Source organism: Homo sapiens, chromosome X, assembly GCF_000001405.40.
Source record: "Homo sapiens chromosome X, GRCh38.p14 Primary Assembly".
Taxonomy (NCBI): domain Eukaryota; kingdom Metazoa; phylum Chordata; class Mammalia; order Primates; family Hominidae; genus Homo; species Homo sapiens.
In genome coordinates this window covers 99,108,816-99,129,648 of record NC_000023.11, presented here as the reverse complement: position 1 = coordinate 99,129,648, position 20,833 = coordinate 99,108,816, and positions in this window count along the sequence as shown.

The window sequence follows — 20,833 nt, the reverse complement described above, 5'->3', positions numbered from 1 at the left end:
TTCAAACATATTCTTACTTTCTGTACTGTAGAGTAGTCATCTAATTTTCTCTTGGTAGTCCAGATCAATCACCCCAACCAATACCATAACTTCCTTCTTGGCCTGTTGACTTAGAGAAATAAGGGGCATAAAGTGGTCTTCTGGCAGTCTTAACTTCCATTTCAATGAAATCTATCATTGTTATGTCTCCTGGTAGAAGCATTCCTCCTTCTGAAACTAAGAGCTCTAGGCAAGTGGAGCAGGAAGTCATGAAAACAGGAAGCAAAATTTTGCTAGTTGGTCACTAAGGTAATAGTGAGTAGTGCCACTGCCATTTCCACCCCTGGATCCCTGGACCCATGAATCCTGGCTATCAGAAAAACAGCAACACATATTAGATGCTGACTCAGAGCATATACAGACTTCTAGAAAACCTTGCCCCAGCCCTGAAAACTATTGTGTTCTAGCTGACACTATATCTGAGTCTTGAAAAGGCCATTCCACTGTCATATCAAGCCAGCAGCCTCAGGATTGTGGGAAGCATGGTAAGGTCAGTGAATTCCATGAACATGGGTCTATGCCCCACTACTTGTGCTGTGAAATGAGTTTCTTCATAAGAATCAATGTTGTGTGGAATACCACAATGACAGATAAGACATTCTATATCTCTGAAGATAATAATTTTAGCAGAAGTATTACATACAGAAAAGGCTAATACACATCCAGAGTAAGTGTTTATTCTGGTAAGGACAAAATATTACCTCTCCCATGATTCAAGCAGTCCAATATAATCCACCTGACACCGGGTAGCTGGTTGATCACCCCATGGAATGAAGTCATATCAGTGGTTCAATGTTGGTCACCACTGCTGGCCAATTGAGCACTCAGCAGTGGCCATATCCAGGTTGGCCTTGGTGACTAGAAGTCCATGTTGCTGAGCCCATGCATAACCTCATGACCTGCCGTCATGGTGATTTTGTTTATTTTTTTTGGTGGGGGGGCAATGATAGAGTGGCTAGAAGAAGAGGCTGACGGATATCTATAGAACAGGTCATCTTATACATCTGATTATTAAAGTGCTCGTCTGTTGAGGTCACCCTTTGGTGAATATTCACATGAAACATACATATCTTCATGTTTTTCATCCATTCAGAGAGGTTTCTTCATGTACTCCTTCCCGCAAATTTCTGTCACCAATTTTCCAATCATGATTCTTCCAAGTCCCTGACCATCCAGACAAATTCTTGACCATGGCACATTAATTGGCACAAATCATGTTTGGCCATTTATCCTTCTAAGCAAGGTGTGCAACCAGGTACACTGCCTGAAGTTCTGTATACTGGGAGGATTTCCCTTTGCCATTGTCTTTCAGAGAGAGATTGTAGTGATTCAGCTGCCCACTTTCAAATGGTATCCACGTATTGTGCAAAGTCATCTGTAAATCACGCCCAAGTCTTCTCTTCCTCTGTTAATTGAACATCGGAAACTCCCCTTGAGGTCATATGTCCAGGCTGGGAGAAAGATGGCAGCCAAACAGGGTTGGGAGTCATGGGCATTCAACTACTTTTTCATGTAGCTTACTTGTGCCTTTAGGAGCTGTTCAGGCTTGATCAGGTATATGAATGTATATATGTATATTATCATGTATAACTGTAAGTTGCTATTCATGCCCAACTTTATGGTTTGCTGGATCAGATAACACAGTATACAATGGGAAGCTCAGATCTCATGGTAACTTGATGATTCATGGTGGAGAGTTCAGTCTCTACTAAAGCCCAGTAGCAGTCTAAGAGTGGTCTCTCAATAGGAATAAGTTATCTGTGGATTACGGCAGGGTCTTGCTCAAAAATTCTAAAGGCTTGTGCTGTGATTTACCTATGGGGTAAATCTATGGGGGCATGCCAAAGTTTCCAAACAGCATCCCTATCTGCCACTGATATTTCAAGCACCATTGGCTCCATTGGATTATATGGCCCAAGTGGCAGAGCAGCTTGTACAGACAGCATCCTGGGACCTGTTTCAGAGCCTTCTTTCATTCTGGGACCCACTCAAAACTAGTAGCTTTTTAGGTCATTTGGTTAAAGAGTCAGAGTAGCACACACAAATGAGGAATATTTTGTCTCCAAAATCCAAATAGGCACACTAGGCATTGTGCATTCGTGGTTTTAGGAGAAGCCAGATAGAACAACTTATCCTTCACCTTAGAAGGAATATCTGGTCATGCTGTATGTCAACGGATCCCTGGAAATTTCAATAAAGTAGGAGGCCCTTGAATTTTAGTCAGCTTTATTTCTCAACCCCTGACATATGTCTTAGAGTATTTGCTACTTCACACTCACTGTGTTCAATCAACATAAGGTCATCAATATAGTAAACCATGTGATATCTTGTGAAAGGGAAAGTGATCAAGATCCTTGAAAACTAAATTATGACATTGGGCTGGAAAGTTGATATATTCCCGAGGTAGGGCAGTGAACATGTATTGCTGGCCATGACACCTGAAAGCAAACTGCCTCTGGTAGGCCTTATGAACAGCAATGTAGAAAAGGAATTTTCTAGATCAATAGCTGTATATTAGGTACCAGGGGATGTGTTAATTTCCTAGGCAAAAAAAAAAAAAAAGAAAAGAGAAACACATCTGGTATAGCAGCTGCAATTGGAGTTACCACTTAGTTAAGCTTCCAGTAATCTACTGTCATTCTTCAAGATCTATTTGTCTTCTGCATAGGTCAAATAGGAGAGCTAAATGGGAATGTGGTGCATATTTCAAATCTTTGATGATAGCACTAATCTCTGCAATCCCTCTAAGAATACAGTATTGCTTTTGATTTACTACTTATCTAGTAGAGGCAGTTCTAATGGCTTTCTCTTGGCCTTTTCCACCATAATAACCCTCACTCCATAGGGCAGAAAGTCAATTTAGAGATTCTGCCAGCTTCTAAGCATATCTACTCCAAGTATGCATTCTGGAACTAGGGAAATAACCACAGGTTGTGTTCAAGGATGCAGGGACCCACTGTGAGATGGACCTAAGCCAAACTCCATTAATCACCTGAACTTGATAAGCCCTTATTCTGATTGAAAGGCCACAGTGATATGTTGGGTCTCCTGGAGTCAGTGTCAGTTCAGCGTGAGTGTCCAGTAGTCCCTAAAAGATCTGATTATTTTCATTTTCCCAGTGCAGAGTTGCCCTGGTAAAAGGCTGTAATTCCCTTTGAATAAGGCTGAGAGAAATATTTGTAATATAAATTTTCATTAGTGTACCAGAGTTATTCCTCTAGAGAATGTAGCCTACCCTTCATTCAAGGAGTTTGAGGTACATAAACTGGTTCCAATGTGGGAGTTGATTAAGAAGCCTTTACTCTCTGTTTTTATAATTCAAGTTAGACATCTCTTCATTTGACCTGGAACTTTCTTGTTTATACAAATTAAGTAAAAATATAGTAAACTTCCTATTTCTTTCACTTCCAGAAACACCATGATTAATTGGAAAATGCTATGGACCTTCCCAAGTCAGGATATTCACCTTGCTGCTTTGACTATGTCCTGCCTTACAGTAACTACACCTCCTCACCTTTAGGAGCCTGCTGAGACTTGAGTCCAGTTATGGACATAGAAGCAAAGAGGAGTGATAGAGGTAGGTCCTTAGGAGAATTAGCATTGTCTTGCATGGTAACTGCCTCAGAGAAAGCTATTATTGTTTCCTTAGACAATGCAAGATTAATACCTTCAGATGGAGGTGAAGAGGCCAATACCACTGTGGGTGGGGATGCAGCTGCCTCTGAAGGTGGGGAGGCCACTTCTGCCAGTTGAAGAGGCTACTTTTCTAAGCATGGGGACACCAATTGCACAGACAATGGGAAGACCACTTTCAATAGGGGTGAGGAGACCTCTGTCATTAGCAAAGAAGACTCCTCAGAATTTAGGGATTTAATGTCCCTAGCTTCATCGGGTTCTTCCTACACATCCCCAGTTCATCTTACAGGATCTCATTTTTTTCCCAACTAATGCTCTCAATTTAATAGTAGACACCCCTTGAGACTGAGAGTTCAAATTGTGTTGTAAGTCAGCCAATCACAGAATTAACTTCTGCGTTTGATTTCTGGCAATTTTAGCCTTGCAGCTACAAGAGATAAGGCTCTCCTCCAGTGCATACTTAGAAGATCTTAGGTCATTTGTGCAGTGCTTGAGCTGGGAATTCAAATGCCTGAACTCATCTTTCTTTTCATCACTTTATCCAGAGGCATTAGAAGCAACCAACCAAGGTCCAATGTCATTATGTTCCTTAGTTTTCCAAAAATGGTCATATATAGAGTTACTTAGTTCCTTGCTTCTTATAAGTGATTGATTAGAAGTATCCAATACAGATTTTTGCATATATCTATAAATACTTCACACTATGGGCTATCAGTTCCCCCTTTACTACTGAAAATAGAGACAATAGCAACTTTAAATCTAATCAGACTAGAGAGACAATGCCACAAACCCCACAACCAATTCAGAAAACTCATCCTTAAAATTCTGTTCATCTAAAACCACTGTTGATATCAAAATCTGTATCAGTCAAGGTTCTCCAGATAAACAAAACCAAAAGTGTATTGTGTATGTGTGTGTGTATATATATATATATGTGTATATGTGTGTATGCACACACACACACACAAACACACAGTGGGAATTGGCTTGCACAATTATAGAGGCTGAGAAGTTTCATGATCTATTGTCTGCAAGCTGGAGAACTGGGAAAGCTGATGATGTAATTCAGTCTAAATCTGAAGGCCTAGGAACTAGGGATTACCAATGATGCAAGTCCCGGTCTCTTTACAAATAGCATATAATTGGATTATGTTGTATTATTTATTTATTTATTTATTACTTTGGGGGATGGAGTCTTGCTCTGTTGCCCAGGCTGGAGTGCAATGGTGCGATCTCAGCTCACTGCAACCTCTGCCTCTTGGGTTCAAGTGATTCTGCTGCCTCAGCCTCCTGAGTAGCTAGGATTACAGGTGCCTGCCACCATGCCCAGCTATTTTTTGTATTTTTAGTAGAGACAGGGTTTCACCATGTTGGCCAGGCTGGTCTCAAACTCCTGATCTGAAGTGACCCACCTGCCTCAGCCTCCCAAAGTGCTGGAATTACTGACATCAGCCACCACTCCCAGCCAAATTGTTTGCTTGTTTTTAAATTCTTCTCCAATCTCAATCTTTTGATTAATATGTCTATTAGTCTGTTCTCATGCTGTTAATAAAGACATACTTGAGACTGGGTAATTTATAAAGGAAAGAGGTTTAATTGACTTAGAGTTCCACATGGCTGGGGAGGCCTCACAATCATGGCAGAAGGTGAATGAGGAGCAAAGTCGTGTCTTCTATGGTGGCAGGCAAGAGAGTATGTGCAGGGGAACTGCCCTTTATAAAATCATCAGATCTCATGAGACTTATTCACTATCATGAAAACAGCACAGGAAAACCTGCCCCCATGATTCAGTTACCTCCCACTGGGTCCCTCCCATGACATGTGGGGATTATGGGAGCTACAATTCAAGGTGAGATTTGGGCAGGGACACAGCCAAACCATATCAATATGTTAAATCAATTTACATTTAATGTGATTATTTTAAGGTGTTCATCATTTTGCTATTTATTTTCTGTATGTCTTAGATCTTGTTTCTCACTGCTATTCTATGACTGCCTTCTTTTGTGTTAATTGGAAATTTTCTAGTGTACCATTTTAATTCCATTGTGTTTTTTTTACTGTTTACATATGTGAAAACTTATCAAATTGGATATTTTAAATATGTGCAGTTACTTGTACATAAATTGTATTTTAAATCTGTTTTTTAAAAATAAAATTATTAAGTTGAAAACTACAAAAAAAGAAATATAAATATGTTTTCTTCCTTTTTATAGTTTGCCTTTTTATTTTGTGGACTATTTTCTTTGCTATGCAGAAACTTCTTAGTTTGATGTAGTCTTACTTTATATTTGCTTTTTCTGCCTATGCTTTTGGGCTCATATCAAAGAAACCATTGCTAATATCAATAGCAACAAGTCTTTCTCCTGTTTTCTTCTAAGAGTTTTGAAGTTTCAAGTCTCATGTTTAAGTCTTTAGTTTATTTTGAGTTGTTTTTTGTGTATTTTGTAAGAAAAGGTTCCAATTTCACTCTTTTGCATGTGGATATTCAGGTTTTCCAGCACCACCTATTGAAGAGATTATCCTTTCTCCATAACATATTCTGGGTATCCTTGTCAAAACTCATTTGACCATATATGACTAGGTTTATTTCTGGGCTATCTATTCCTTTCCATTGGTCTACATGTCTGCATTTATGCCAGTACCATACTATCTTAATTTTTGTAGCTTTGTAATATTTTTTGAAATAAAAGTGTAATGCCTCCATCTTTGTTGTTTTTTCTCAAAGGAGCTTTGAATATTCAGGGTCTTTTGTGGTCCCATACAAATTTTAGGATTTTAAAAATTTCTGTAAAAAATTAACTTGACGTTTTTATGGCAATGGTATTGAATCTGTATGTTGTTTTGGATAATATGGGCATTTTAGCAATATTAAGTTTTCCAATCCATGAACATGGGATGTCTTTCTATGTATTTGTAGCCTCTTCAATTTTTTTCAGCAATGTTTTGTAGTTTTCATAGCACCAGTCTTTAATATTCTTGGTTAAGTTTATTCTTAAATGTTTTATTTCTATTTTATGATATTTTAAATTTGATTTTTAAATTTCTTTTTTGTAGTGTTCACTGTTAGTATATGAAAATGATACTAATTTTTCTGTTGTTTTTGTATCTTCAACTTTGCTAAATTTATTACTTCTAAGATTTTTTCTGTTGAATTTTTAGGATTTTCTGCATATAAAATTATGTCTTCTGCAAATAGAGAAAATTTTACTTCTTCCTTTCTGATTTGTATGCCTTCTATTTCTTTCTCTTGACTAATTGCTCTAGCTAGGACTTCCAGTGCTATGTTAAATAGAGATAGCAAGCATAGGCATCCTTGCCTTGCTCCTGATCTTAGAGAAAAACCTTTCAGCTTCTCATTATTGAGTATTTTAGTTATGGGCTTTTTATATATTGCCTTTATCAGGTTAATTTCATTCTTTTTGGAAGTTTTTTGGAATTTTTTTAAATCATGAAAGGTGTTGACTTTTGTCAAATTTTTTTTCTGCAACTATTGAGATAATCATGTGACTTTGATCCTTTGTTCTGTTAACATGTTGTCTCACATTAATTGATTTTGATTATGTCGAACCATTCTTGCATCCCAGAAAAAAATTCCAGTTAGTCATGGTGTATGATTCTTTTAATATGCTAGTGGATTTTGTTTGCTAGTATTTGTTGGGGATTTTTGCATCTATATTCATAAGGGATATTAGTCTGCAGTCTTCTTGCAGTGTCATTGTCTGGCTTTGATATCAGTGTAGTGCTCCCCTTATAAAATAAGGTTGAAAGTTTTACCTTTTCTTCATTTTTTGGAATAATTTGAGAAGAATTAATATTAGTTCTTTAAATATGTGTGGTCAAATTCTCCATTGAGAAGATCATATCCTGGACTATTTGTTTTGAGGTTTTTTATTACTGATTTAATCTTTCTTCATTATTTTTCTGTTCAGCTTTTCTGTTTCTTCATAATTTAGTTTTCATAGGTCATATATTTCTAAGAATTTTTCCACATCTTCTAGATTTTCCAGTTTGTCGGTGTATAATTATTCATAATATTTGCTTATGATCCTTTCTATTTCTGTGATACTAATTGTAATGTTTCCTTTTTCATTCCTTTATTTATTTGAAAATTCCCTTTTTCACTTAGTTCAGCTAAATTCTTGTCAATTTTGTTCATTTTTTCTCATTCTTACATTTGTTGATTTGTATCTATTGTTTTTCTGTTACCTATTTCATTTGTTTCTGCTCCAATCTGTTAATCTCTTTTTTTTTTCTTTCTGCTAATTTTGGGCTTAGTTTGTTCTCTTTGTCTTGTTCCTTGAGGTGTAAAGTTAAGTTTTCTCTACTCATATAGATGTTTACCCCTTTGACCTTCCCTGATAGTTCTGCTTTTGCTCGCCTCTTAAGTTTTGGTTTCTGGTGCTTCATTTGCAATGATTTCAAGATATTTTCCAATTTCTTTTTTAAAGTTTTCTTTGAGACATTGGTTGGTTAGCAGTGTGTTGTTTAATTTCTCATACCTGTAAATTTTAAAGCTTTCCTTTGGTTATTTATTTTTAGTTCTATTTCATTGTGTTCCAAAAATATACTTGATATGATCTCAATCTTCTTAACTTTGTAGGATTTGCTTTGCAGCCTAACATGTAATCTACTTGGAGAATGATCTGTGTGCACTTGGAAAGAATATGTATTCTACTGTTGGTTTATATAAGCCTCATGGCAACCAAAAATAAAATATATATTAGAAGATAAACATTCAAAAAAAAGAATCAAAGTATATTAGTACCAAAAAAAATTGACAAAACATAAAGGAAGACAGAAAAAGAAGGAAAAAAAGAGAGAAAAGCTATAAGACAGAAAACAACATATTACAGACATGTCTATTAGGTCCATTTTATCTACAGCACTTTAAGCCTACTGTTTTCTTATTGATATTCTGTCTGGATATTTTATCCATTATTGTAAGTAGGATATTGAAGTTTTATACAATTATTATATTGCTTTCTATATTTATCTTGTCAGTTCAGTTAATGCTTGCTTTATATATTTAGGTCCTCTAATGTTGAGTGCATATGTATTGTAATTGTTATAGTTTCCTGATGAAATAAACATTTTATCTTTATATAATGTCCTTTCTTGTCTCTTGTGACAGTTTTTGTGTTAAAGTCTTTCTCGTCTGGAAATAAGTGCAGAAAATCTTGTCTCTTTTGGTTACCACTGACATGAAATATTTATTTCTATTCCTTTTTTTGGCTTATGCGTGTCCTTAAATCTAAAGTAAGTCTGTTTAGACAGTATATAGTTGAATCTTTTTTTTTACCCTTTCACCCACTTTATATCTTTTAATTGTGGAATTTCATTTTTTAACATATAAACTAATTATTGATAGGGAAGGACTTACAGTTGCCATTTTGTTAATTTTCTGTCTTTTAGCTCTCTTTTCTCTCTTTTTTCTTCTCTTACTGCTTTCCTTTATGTTGATTCTTTTGTACTAATATGCTTTGATTCTTTTTCTTTTTTGAGTGTTTATCTTCTAATATGTATTTTCTTTTTGGTTGCCATTAGCCTTATATAAACCATCTTATAAGATGTTAAGTCTTTTTTAATTCTACAATAGATATGTCTATTTTAAGCTTATAACAAGTTAACTTCCATTATATATAAATATTCTACACTTTTATGTCTACCATAAACACAGTATATATTATTGATGTCACAACTTGCATGTTTTTACATTGTGTATACATTAACACGCTTTTATAGCTAGTTATTTTAATACTTTTTGTCTTTTATACTAGAAATAAAAGTGATTTAAATACCACCATTAGAGCATTATACTATTCTGTAATTGCTACATATTTACCTTTAGCAGTAATTTTATACTTTCCCATGCTTTTGATGTCCTGTTTAGTCTCCTTTTGTTTCACCTTGAATAACTTTCTTTAACATGTCTTGTGTAGCTGGTCTAGAATAAATTCTCTCAGCTTTTGTTTATTTTGGAAAGTTTTTATTTCTTCTTCACTTTTGAAGGACAATTTTGCTAAGTATTTTGATCTTGTTTGGCAGTTTTGTTCTTTCAGCATTTTGATGATATCATCCAAGTCTCTTCTAAGTAGCAAGGTTCTGCTGAGGCATCTGCTGATATCTCCCTTGTATGTAACTATTCACTCTTCTCTTGCTGCTTTCAAAATCCTCTCCTTGTTGTTGACTTTTAACAATTTTATGATAATGTGTCACTGTTTAGACTTTGTATTCATCCTAATTAGACATTTATTGGGGCTACTTGAACCTGAATGTCTACTTCCTTCCCTAGTTTTCAGTTATTATTTCTTCAAATGACTTTTTCTTTCCTTTATTTCTCTCTTCACCTCCTGGGACTTTCATAATGCATATATTTGCTTACTTTATGGTATTCCATAAGTCCACTAGGCTTATGGAACACAGGAGCCTGTTTGGGGATGGGGGGCTAGGGGAGGGATAGTAGGTGACGGGTTGATGGGTGCAGCAAACCACTATGGCACATGTATAACTATGTAACAAAACTGCACATTCTGCACATGTACCCCAGAACTTAAAGTATAATTTTTTTAAAAATACCACAAACTTTTTTGTTTTTACTGGGCTTAATTGGTTTTTCTTGTGTAAACTTCCTTCAGATTGTTCTAAGACTTTGGTTAATTTCCAAACTTCTAAAAATGTTAATTTTTATAATGCTATAAATGTTCTCATGGCTTTTATGAGGCAGTAGATTTCTGTGGGTCCTCACTCCATCATTCTAAAAGTCATGCCTCTCAGCTAGATTTTAAAGACAAAGTATTATACTTTTTTTGTTCCATCTTGTTATATTCATCTTATTATTGTAGCCTATTGAATTATTTTTATATGTTGATTGCATCATATCATTCAGATATGCCCTAAATGTCTTTATCCCAATCATTAATTAAACTATTTGATTTACCTTAAGAAGGTGCAAATTGGCAATATTCTATAGGACTCTACTAGAGACTTCCTACTAAAGCACTTTCAGATTTCTATTATCCACGTACTTCTTGGACATGTCCCTTTATCAAACTGACCTCACCTCTACTGTATAATATATAAATGTATATTTTATACAATTTCAACTAGATAACATTTCATTCATATAGGAACTTCTCAATTTATAACCTCATTTCTATATTGGAGTTGAATCTTTTACGTGCCTATACAAATGCAATTTGCTCCTTGTTGAAGAGTTGGACTTAGAAAATAGAGACTTTAAATTGAATGAACAATTCTGCTTGCATTCTACTCAATGAATATATTTCTTGGAGTGACTGTGAGATGGTGCATATGATCTGCTGTCCTCTTAGTTAGTCTAAGTTTCAACATGCTTCTTATAATGCAAACATCTCACCATGCTCCATGTGTTTCTTGCTTTTCACAGTATGTATTTTCCATGCAGTATGGTCCCTAACTGCAATCCAACTATTTAATCTGCTGCTCAGCAGAAGACACAGCAATCTGTTCCAACACAAGAGGGAACCTTGCTGAGGTGGACTCCCTGAGAGTTAGTATGTAGCTCTCAAACATTGCATTTCCCTAAAATAATTATAGCTGTGTTCTATTTATGCCTTTTGAGCAAACTTTATAATCTACTCCTAAATGTTCTACCCAGATTCATCCATGCTGCATAGCAAAGCTGGGTCATTCCAGAGAAATCATGCCTTGAACAGTGGCAATAGCCTCCATCTTTTAACTTTAGTTCTCAGTTTATGTCAGTATTGATGAAAACATACAAGGCACCCGAGACAGACCTAGCGGGAATTCTGCTCTGTGGAAATTTAATTTATTACAATTTCACAATTATTCTCAATGTGGTGCTCTTTCCAGAGGATATATGAGATGTTGTCCTCCTTGCTCAGTTTTACTAGAAATATCCAAGGCTTTCCAGTACACTACATGAGGTTGCAAACTCATCACAATGAGCACTCAAAAATTTGATTATAAACTAAGCACAGGTTGAATAAAAGCTTGTCTTTCTATAACACAGCATTATTTAATAACACAGGGGAAGACTTGAGTTTGTGCAATGACCTTAATGTCAGAAGTTCAGTAATAATCATGCTATCCAATGTGGCTCTCTAATTCTTGTTTTAAGCTGAAGATAGTCAGGTCTACACTCCCTAAAGAGTAAACTACCAACAATGCACTGTCAGGAAAATTACTTATGGAAATGAAATAAGTTTGTTGAGTAAAATAATTCTCCCTCATATTTTTTTGTTTTATTGGTTGAGGGAAATTGGCATAAAAAAACCCAGCAAAGTGATTTTTTTTCTATAAGATAGTATTTCCAGAGGATGGTATTCACAGTGCTTAGCTCAGGATTACCTAAAAAAGTTGTTTAAAATGTAGATTAACTAGACTTACCACCCCTCCATCAATTTCTTAGATATCCCCAGATGTTTCTGATACAACCTGTTGTGTGAACAGGTACAACTAGATAATTCTAACATAAAGCATTGTTTAAAAACCACTGCTCTAGGCATTGAGAGCATCTCAGAAAGTAAAGCTGATTTGTTGAGTAAAGCAGTGGCAAAGGCTTTTTTTCCCCTCACCTTGCAATTGTTTACTTTGTTAACAATTCAGGTTTATTTCTTTAGGTTTTAAAAGAAGTTTATATCTTTGCCATTTCAAGTTTGGATCAGTTACAGCCTCCTTATTAAGTAACCAAACAATACTATTCCATCACCCTGTGGTGAGACTCAGAGAGCCTGCTCAGTGGGAAGTGCTCCACCTTTGCATGAGAATCCTGCCACCTGGTCTCCTAGTTGTGCTTTAAGAATAGTTCCACCTGAACTTGGTTCATGAGAGGGTGATTGTGTGCTGCTAGCTGCAGGGTCACTTATTGATTTCAAAAATATGTCGTTTGCTTTCCAAAAGAGGTTGGCTGCCATTATGCTTGTGAGTTACTTTATTTTTTTGTTTGTTTGTTTTTTGAGACGGAGTTTCACTCTTGTTGCCCAGGTTGGAGTGCAATGACGAGATCTCGGCTCACTGCAATCTCCCCCTCCGGGCATCAAGTGATTCTCCTGCCTCAGCCTCCCGAGTAGCTGGGATTACAGGCATGTGCCACCATGCCTGGCTAATTTTTTGTATGTTTAGTAGAGACAGGGTTTCACCACATTGGCTAGGCTGGTCCTAGCCAACTCCTGACCTCAGGTTATCCACCTGAGGCTGAGGCCTACCAAATTGCTGGGATTACAGGTGTGAGCCACCACGCTCAGCCGATTCACTTTATTTTAACAGGAAGAACTGGAGAGGGAATTGTATTGAACGATTTTATTCCACTAGCTCTTTTATCTCCATCAACTATTCAGTTAATCAGTGCAACCTTATCACCCTTAGAGAGAAATGTTCATTCCACTAGATAACTTGTCCAGGTGTGAGAAGCTAACTTTCTCCATTACAGGGTTATGGATGAATCATTAAATGCCATAGGAGTAACATGTTTATGGCGTTTATCTAAGTTTTCCTGATTCTGAGCACTGCTGTTCAACCTTTGAATATCTCTTTGAAATGCAAAAGACATCCATGTTATACATAGTATACACAATAAAAGAAGTTATCTATTAGAAATTTAGTTCATCTGTTATGCTAGTGTTCAGTGAAAGAAAATTATATCACGGAATTATAGGACTTAAAGGTATACTAGGAAATTACCAGCTATGTTATGTGTCCCTGAAACAACTTATAGTGATAATTGTCCACATATGCTTTTATTCTCTTTTTCCCGTCTATTTCTCAATCCCCTTTTTACCCAGACCATTCTTTTTTTTATTTTCTTTCTTCCTTTTCTGACTGCCATGGGTGTCCAATTAAATCCAACAACATTACTTATAACCTAAGCTAGTTCATTTTTCTGCATACAGAACTATACTATACTATGCCTTTTATGAAGACAGTGAGGTGTAACAACAACTACATATGCTATTAAGACAAATAAACCTGGGTTTACATTCTGGCTAAACAAGCAGCAATGTGACCTTACATGTGATTCTTAACCTATTGAAGCCTCATTTTTTTCATCTGTAAAATTAGACTCAGAATTCCTGCAGCATAGTGTATGTGAAAGAGGACCACCAGTCATGGCAGGCACTCAGTAAAGTTGCCCTTAAAACTGGTAATTGACATAATTAATTACTTAGCCTCTCTACATGAGAACATTCTCTATAAAATCAAGAGTAGAGTGGAAGTCGTAAAATGTACTCTGTGGTTGGAAAGGATTGAACAAGCTATCACAGGCAAACTTTCATCATGTGTGACATTTATTGTGTGTTCATTGAATGCATTTTATGCAGATTAACAGAAGTACTACTGGTAATAAGGTCATTTATTATGAATTTTCCAAGATAGAATATTTGAAATGGGGACTGTCACCATATTTCATTGAAAATCACATAAATTACAATATATTTGTGTATTAACAATATTTTCAGAAAGTAGACCAAACTATCTTTTATCAGATCCCTAGACCTTATTTTAGACTGGGAAATATGATCACCTTGCTTCCTGGGAATTATGTAAAATGATAGAAAAATTTGCTTAGGGCTTTCTAGCCAGCCACAGCAGTCTCCAAACCCCAGAGCCAGAAAAAGTGGTATAAATGATAGTGAGCTAGAGGTTAATCTCACAGAAGAGATCAGATACCAATCCACTTTGTATATATCTCCAGAACTCCATTCTTATATCTGACATTTACATGTCTCTAAATGAGTCTTCCTCACTGGCATTTAATAGTGAAGTTTCTGGGAATACAAAAACATTTCTGATCAATAAGATATTTTGTTAAGTACAATTAAATGCTCTGCACTTGACAAGAAACATTTTAAGCCATGCTATTATTTGGTAGCCAGATTGCTGATTTAAAATAAATTAAAGGGATTTGGAGCTGTATTGAATAAATTACCACTTCCCTCCCTTTTCTTTATCCTTCTTTAATTTTTTACTTCAATGACTGTACATGTTGAATTGATAAAGTGGACAGGACAAACATATCAGTTAGGCTCTGTGAAGTTCCAATGAGAAGCAGTTAAAGTCTACATGGGAAAACGGGCCAATGAAGAGGCCCATGAAACTATGTGAGCCAGAGAGGCTCCATATATCACAGACCATAAAAACAAAAGCAAAACCTGACAATATTTTTGGAGGTTTTAAAATTTAATAAAATATAAACATTGCAAAAATAAAGCTATTTAAATTAGTAGAAACTTTTTCATATATTTTTATTTTGCTTTTAGTATTGGTATTTACATCTGAAATGTTACATTATTGTGCAAGGATGAGACCATATATTATTAAGTTCCTATAAGGGCAAATAACCTATCTGAATCACAAGAATTTTATATTTTCATAAAAACCCAGATAGCTGTGATTGATTTTAGATACTCAGCTGAATAAAGAACAAAATAAAGAGAATGTAAAACCCACTTTAATTGTGAAGTAAACATGAAAATAAAAATGAAAATAAATTCAATGAATAAAATGAATGCTTTAAACATAAAATACATTATTACTTTATTCTCTTAAGTTAAAGAAAGCCAAGAGGGCAATGGAGCAAGGATTACATTGGCTTTTATTCATTAGTTTGCAGGAGGAAAAAGGCCTCTGTTTATATTTGACCTTATATTGATTTAGTTCCTTATACAGAAGTTCAAAACCTCTCCTCCCTCCTTTTTTTCCCCAAAGAAATTTTTTCTGGCAATCTTGTTTTCTCAGCAAAGGTTACTTTCAAAGGAAAAAAGAAATCCCTGATGATCACAAAGGATGACAGAGGATGGCTTGTCCTTTTTCTATGTAGGAAAATGTAAGCTATTTGCAAAATACTATAATTGGGAAGTTCAGCCTAAAGGTGAGTTTTTCGCATGTAGGAGAGAAAACATTAAGAGCTGATAGAGAAAACAATTACATTATACCAAAGGAGAAGGAGGAACCTAGGAATTCTCGATGGGCCTATATTTTTCTCATAAATGTTTTGACTTATGGCAAGACCACATCAACCGCGTATCTAGGATAAGTGCAAAGAAAAAACCAAAATCTGGACTCATCCATGCCTCCTGAAACATGTCTATATTTGGATGGGACTTCAAAATGTAGTTCTTTTATACTGGGCAACAATAAGTTGTGTTTGAGGGAGATGGGAATCAGATTTCCAATCCAACTGAAATGAATGTGCTCTTTATTCTGTATCTCCACTACAGAAAAAAACATGAACCTGGAACTAATCTTTGCAAAACAAAATAAAACAAAACACTAGTGATTAAAATCCATCAGGCTGGCAAATCACTGATAATTATAATCACAGTACTATCTACAAACTGGCCATGTGTTCACTTAACCTGGGATAATTACTGTAGGTGTCCCACCTTTTCCCTGGCTATTTGTTACTCCTTGTGATTTCTTTTTCTGTTACATTGTGGAGATCCAATAATAGAAGGGGCCCAAGTACAGCTCACAAGCATTCATTCATTCAAAAAACATGAACTCTCTGCTATGTAACAAGCATTGTGCTAATGATAAAAGAGAAAATAGGAAAAAAACGAGGATAGAAGGAAGTGAGGGAAAAAGGAAAGGAGGAATGAAGAAAATGAGAGAGGAAGAGAAAGAAAAGGCAAGACTCCTGCCCTCATGGAGCTTTCAGGCTAGTGGGAGTGAAAAATTATAATACATGCAAATTAGCAAATGTGGTAAGTGCTGAAAGTAAGAGGTATATTCTGCTATGACAGCATGTAATACCTCTTACTTACTTACTCCTGTTATATAATAGGTGAATTTAACTTAGAAAGATTAGGAAAGACATCCCTGATGTGACAACTGAGCAAAGATGAAGTATCAACAGTGAAAGGCAGAGAAAAATGTTTCTGGAATTTCTTTCTATTTTATATACCAGTCTGCATTCATAGTCTGCAAACTGAGATGGACGAGGCAGGAAGCTTAATAATCTTCTTTACCCGCCTGTTCTGAAGCTCCTTCCAGAGCCAGAGCTAGCCTTAAACTGCCTGCATTGACATTCTTTCATCCTAGTTTTTCTTCCAAGGTCTAGAAAGCCAAAGACACTTCCCCGACAGAGCTTATTTCTGACTCAAAATGCACCCTTCCTCACACAATAATTTCAGAGTGTAAAGGAGAAAATAAAGGAATAATCAATTTATGCTTCTCATCAAAAGATAACTTTTATGTCTAAAATAGGTCTTTCAAGCATTTAGAGTTTAGTGTTCTTTCTCTTTCTCTCCGTGTCTCTTTATCTTACTAAGATACAACCTTAGTAAAAACCAATAGTTATTTTTTATTGTCTAGACCTAGAATATCACAATAATATATCTGGTTCACAGAAGCAAACAAATAAAAATAATTATATTTAATTATTTTTCCTGATACACGTTAATGTATTAGGAACATCTTGTTTTTCCTGATATGTGTAAATCTTTGTTCTGTTATTTCCAAAGATATTTGTCTTCTCTGTCTCCCTATGTATGTGAAATAATACAAGTTAGATTTTTTTTGTCACTATATAATATTATGCCTGATATAAATCAGTATTATTTTTTAAAAACGTCATTTTAAAAATTAATTTTATAAAAACCTTTTCAGATACAGGAACAAAGGTCTTATGAAATAACCTATAATTTTTTCAGAAGATAATCATTTTGTATTTTTTTGACTCTTGAAGATGCATGTTTGAAAACAAGAAGTTTCCCATCTTGTAAACAAGAAGTCCCATCAAGAATGGGACTGTAATAGTCAGTTTCTTAAATAGCCACAGATATAATCAATGAGTGCCTACATATTTAAATTAATCTGGTTTATTTAAGTGATTTTTCCATCAAGCTCTAGCCATTCTTAATTTAGTTTTCCCTGATAGGCCTGTCAAAGACTCAATTTTTTATTTCTCACATTCAGTAAGCATTAGATACTCATCTTATGTATCACTAGTAATGTGTCTTACTTTGACTGCTCAAATCTACATGATTAGGTGAGTTTTTTGTTTGTTTGTTTGTTTTTCTTGAGACAAGGTCTTGCTCTGTCACCCAGGCTGAAGTGCATTGGTGTGATCATGGCAGCCTTGAACTCCTGGGCTTAAGTGATCCTCTATCTTAGCCTCCTGAGTAGGTGGGACTACAGGTACACACCACCAGGCCTGACTATTTATTTTTATTTTTGTAGAGACAGAGTCTTGCTATGTTGACAGAGCTGGTTTCTAACTCCTGGCCTCAAGCAATCCACCTGCCTCAGCCTCCCAAAGTGCTGGGATTACAGATGTGAGAGGTGTTTCTTGTACTTCTGCTAATGATTTGTTTCCTATTTTCTGTGGCTTTCCTATTTGTATTTTATTTCCTTACATATATATTTTAACCAATTAAAAGTTCTCCTTCTTTCTTGCCTTCTTGCTGGACTTATTTGTTTTTAATATATAGAATCCTCTACCACTAAGAAGTATATCTTTATCTGAAAATTGTTGCTTCTATCATAGGTTGATTTATAGTAGCAAATCTGAAAATGATATGAATATAAGATATAGATGTTGGTTTAAATAAATAATGAAATGTTTACTCATTGTGTTACAGTTATTAAAATGATAATTGCAAAGAGTTTATAAAAACAGTGTAGATGCTTACGCTATAATGTTAAGTAGAAAAGGCAAGCTATATGATTTAATATTTAATATTCAATATTATTACTAAAACAAAAATAAACACCCTACTTACAAAAAATATTGGAAGTAAATATGTGAAAGGAGCAGTGACTATTTCTGGGTAGTGGAACTACAGAGGTGATTTTTTTTCTATTTCCCTGTACTGTATTTTCCAACTTTAGAAAATGAACACATTTTTAATAAAATTTAATATTTTTAACTATCCTCTCTAAATATAGACTTTACTGGTCAAGGCTTTAGAATTATACATATCAAATCACAAAATTATTTGTTTACCATAGAACATTGTGGTAAGTAGCTTCTAAACTGGCTCCCAATGGTTCCAGACTCCTGATATTTGTGTCACTGTGTAACCCCTTCCCCTTGAATGTATGCTGAGTCAAGTGAGTTGCATCAAATAAACAGACTATGGTAAAAGGTATGGGATATCACTTGCAAGATTCAGTTAAAAAAACTAGGGCTTTTGTCTTGTTCTCCCTCTGGCTCTCTCTTGCTTGCTCAGTCTGATGAAGCTAAGTGTCGTGTTGTAATCTGCTCTATAGAGAGATCTATAAAACAAGGATTTGAGGGTGATATCCAACTGACAGCCAATGAGAAGAGGAAGCTTTGAGTTGAACATCCTGTGAGAAACTGAATACTTACAACAATCTCATAAGTGAGTTTGGAGGCAGCACCTTCTCCAGTCAAGGTTTCAGATGAAAGCCCAGCCCATGTAGACACCTTGATTTCCCCATCATGATAGACTAAAATGGAAGACCCAGAAAATCTTCACCTGGACTTCTGATCCCCACCCCAAACTATAAACATTTTTTCTGTTAAGCTGTGAAGTCTTGGGATAATTTGTTTCACAGCAATAGTTAGTTGATATAAGTATTTTCTGATACTTTAAAGCATTTTAGGTTTTATTTCACCCAAATATTTTCCAAAAGACAATTGTGATTAAAGGGTGACCCAATGATAAAAATGGAGTAGTATAAATCTGCAATGTTGATTAAATAAAAATATAAAGATAATTCTAATCTGAGATAAATGGTAGTTGTCTTATTTTAATTAACAAGTAGAGTTTGTACACATTTATGATGCACAATATGATGTTTGGATCTATGTACACATTGTGGAGTAGCTAAATTAAGCTATTTAACATAGGCATTGCCTCCGTTACCATTCTTTTGTGCTGGTAATGCTTAAAATGTACTCTCTTAGAAACTTTCAAATATACAATATATTGTTATTTACTGTAGTCACTATGTTCTACAATAGAGCTCTTGAACTTATTCTTCCTGTCTAATTGAAATTTTGTCTTTTTTGACCAATACCTCCCAAATACTCCCACACTCCAGCCTCCCTCACTCCCTCCTTTTGGAGATCCCAGTGTCTATTGTTATCATATTTGTGTCCATGTGTACCCAATATGTAGCTCCCACTTCTAAGTGAGAATGTGTGGTAACTGGTCTTCTGTTCTTGCACTAGTTCACTTAGGATAATGGCCTCCAGCTGCAACCATGTTGCTGCAAAGAACATGATTTCTTAATTTTTATAGCTGCATCCTATTCCATAATGTATATGTACTACACTTTCTTCATCCAATCCACTGTTGATGGGCACCTAAGTTGATTCCATGTCTTTGCTATTCTGAATAGTGCCACAATGAACGTATGAGTGCATATGTCTTTTTGGTAGAATGATTTATTTTCCTTTTGGTGTATATCCAGTAATGAGATTGCTGGGCCAAATGGTAGTTCTGTTTTAAGTTCTTTGAGAATGCTCCAAACTGTGTTCCACAGTGGTTGAGCTAATTTACATTCCCATCAATAGTGTATAATCATTCCCATTTCTCTACAGCCTTGCCTGCATCTATTATTTTTTGACATTTTACTAATAGCCATTCTGTCTGGTGTGAGATAGTATCTCATTGTCCCTTTGATTTGCATTTATCTCATGATTAGTGATGTTGAACATTTTTTCACATGTTTGTTGGCCACATGTATGTCTTCTTTTGAAAGTGTATGTTCATGCCTTTTGCCCACTTTCCCTATGGCTTCTTTTAAGAAATGTCTATTTTATGTGCTTTCCCATTTTTGTTTTATTACTATTGAATTGTTTGTGTTTCTTATATATTTTTGACATTAGCCCCTTATCAATTGTATGTTTTGCAAATATATTCTCCTAATCTAAGGGTTGACTCTTCACTGTATTAACCAGTTTCTTGGCTGTACAGAAGCTTTTAAGTTTCATGTAATCCCATTTGTCTAGTTTTGCTTTTGTTGCCTATGCTTTTGGGGTCATGTCCAAAAAAAAAAAAAAATCATTGCTCAGATCAATGTCATGAAGTTTTCTATGACGTTTTCTTCTAGTAATTTTATAGTCACATTTTACTCATTAATCCATTTTAAGTTGATTTTTGTATGTGGTGTGAGATGAGGTTCTAATTTAATTCTTCTGCATGTGTATACCCAGTTTTCCTAGCACTATTTATTGAAGAGATTT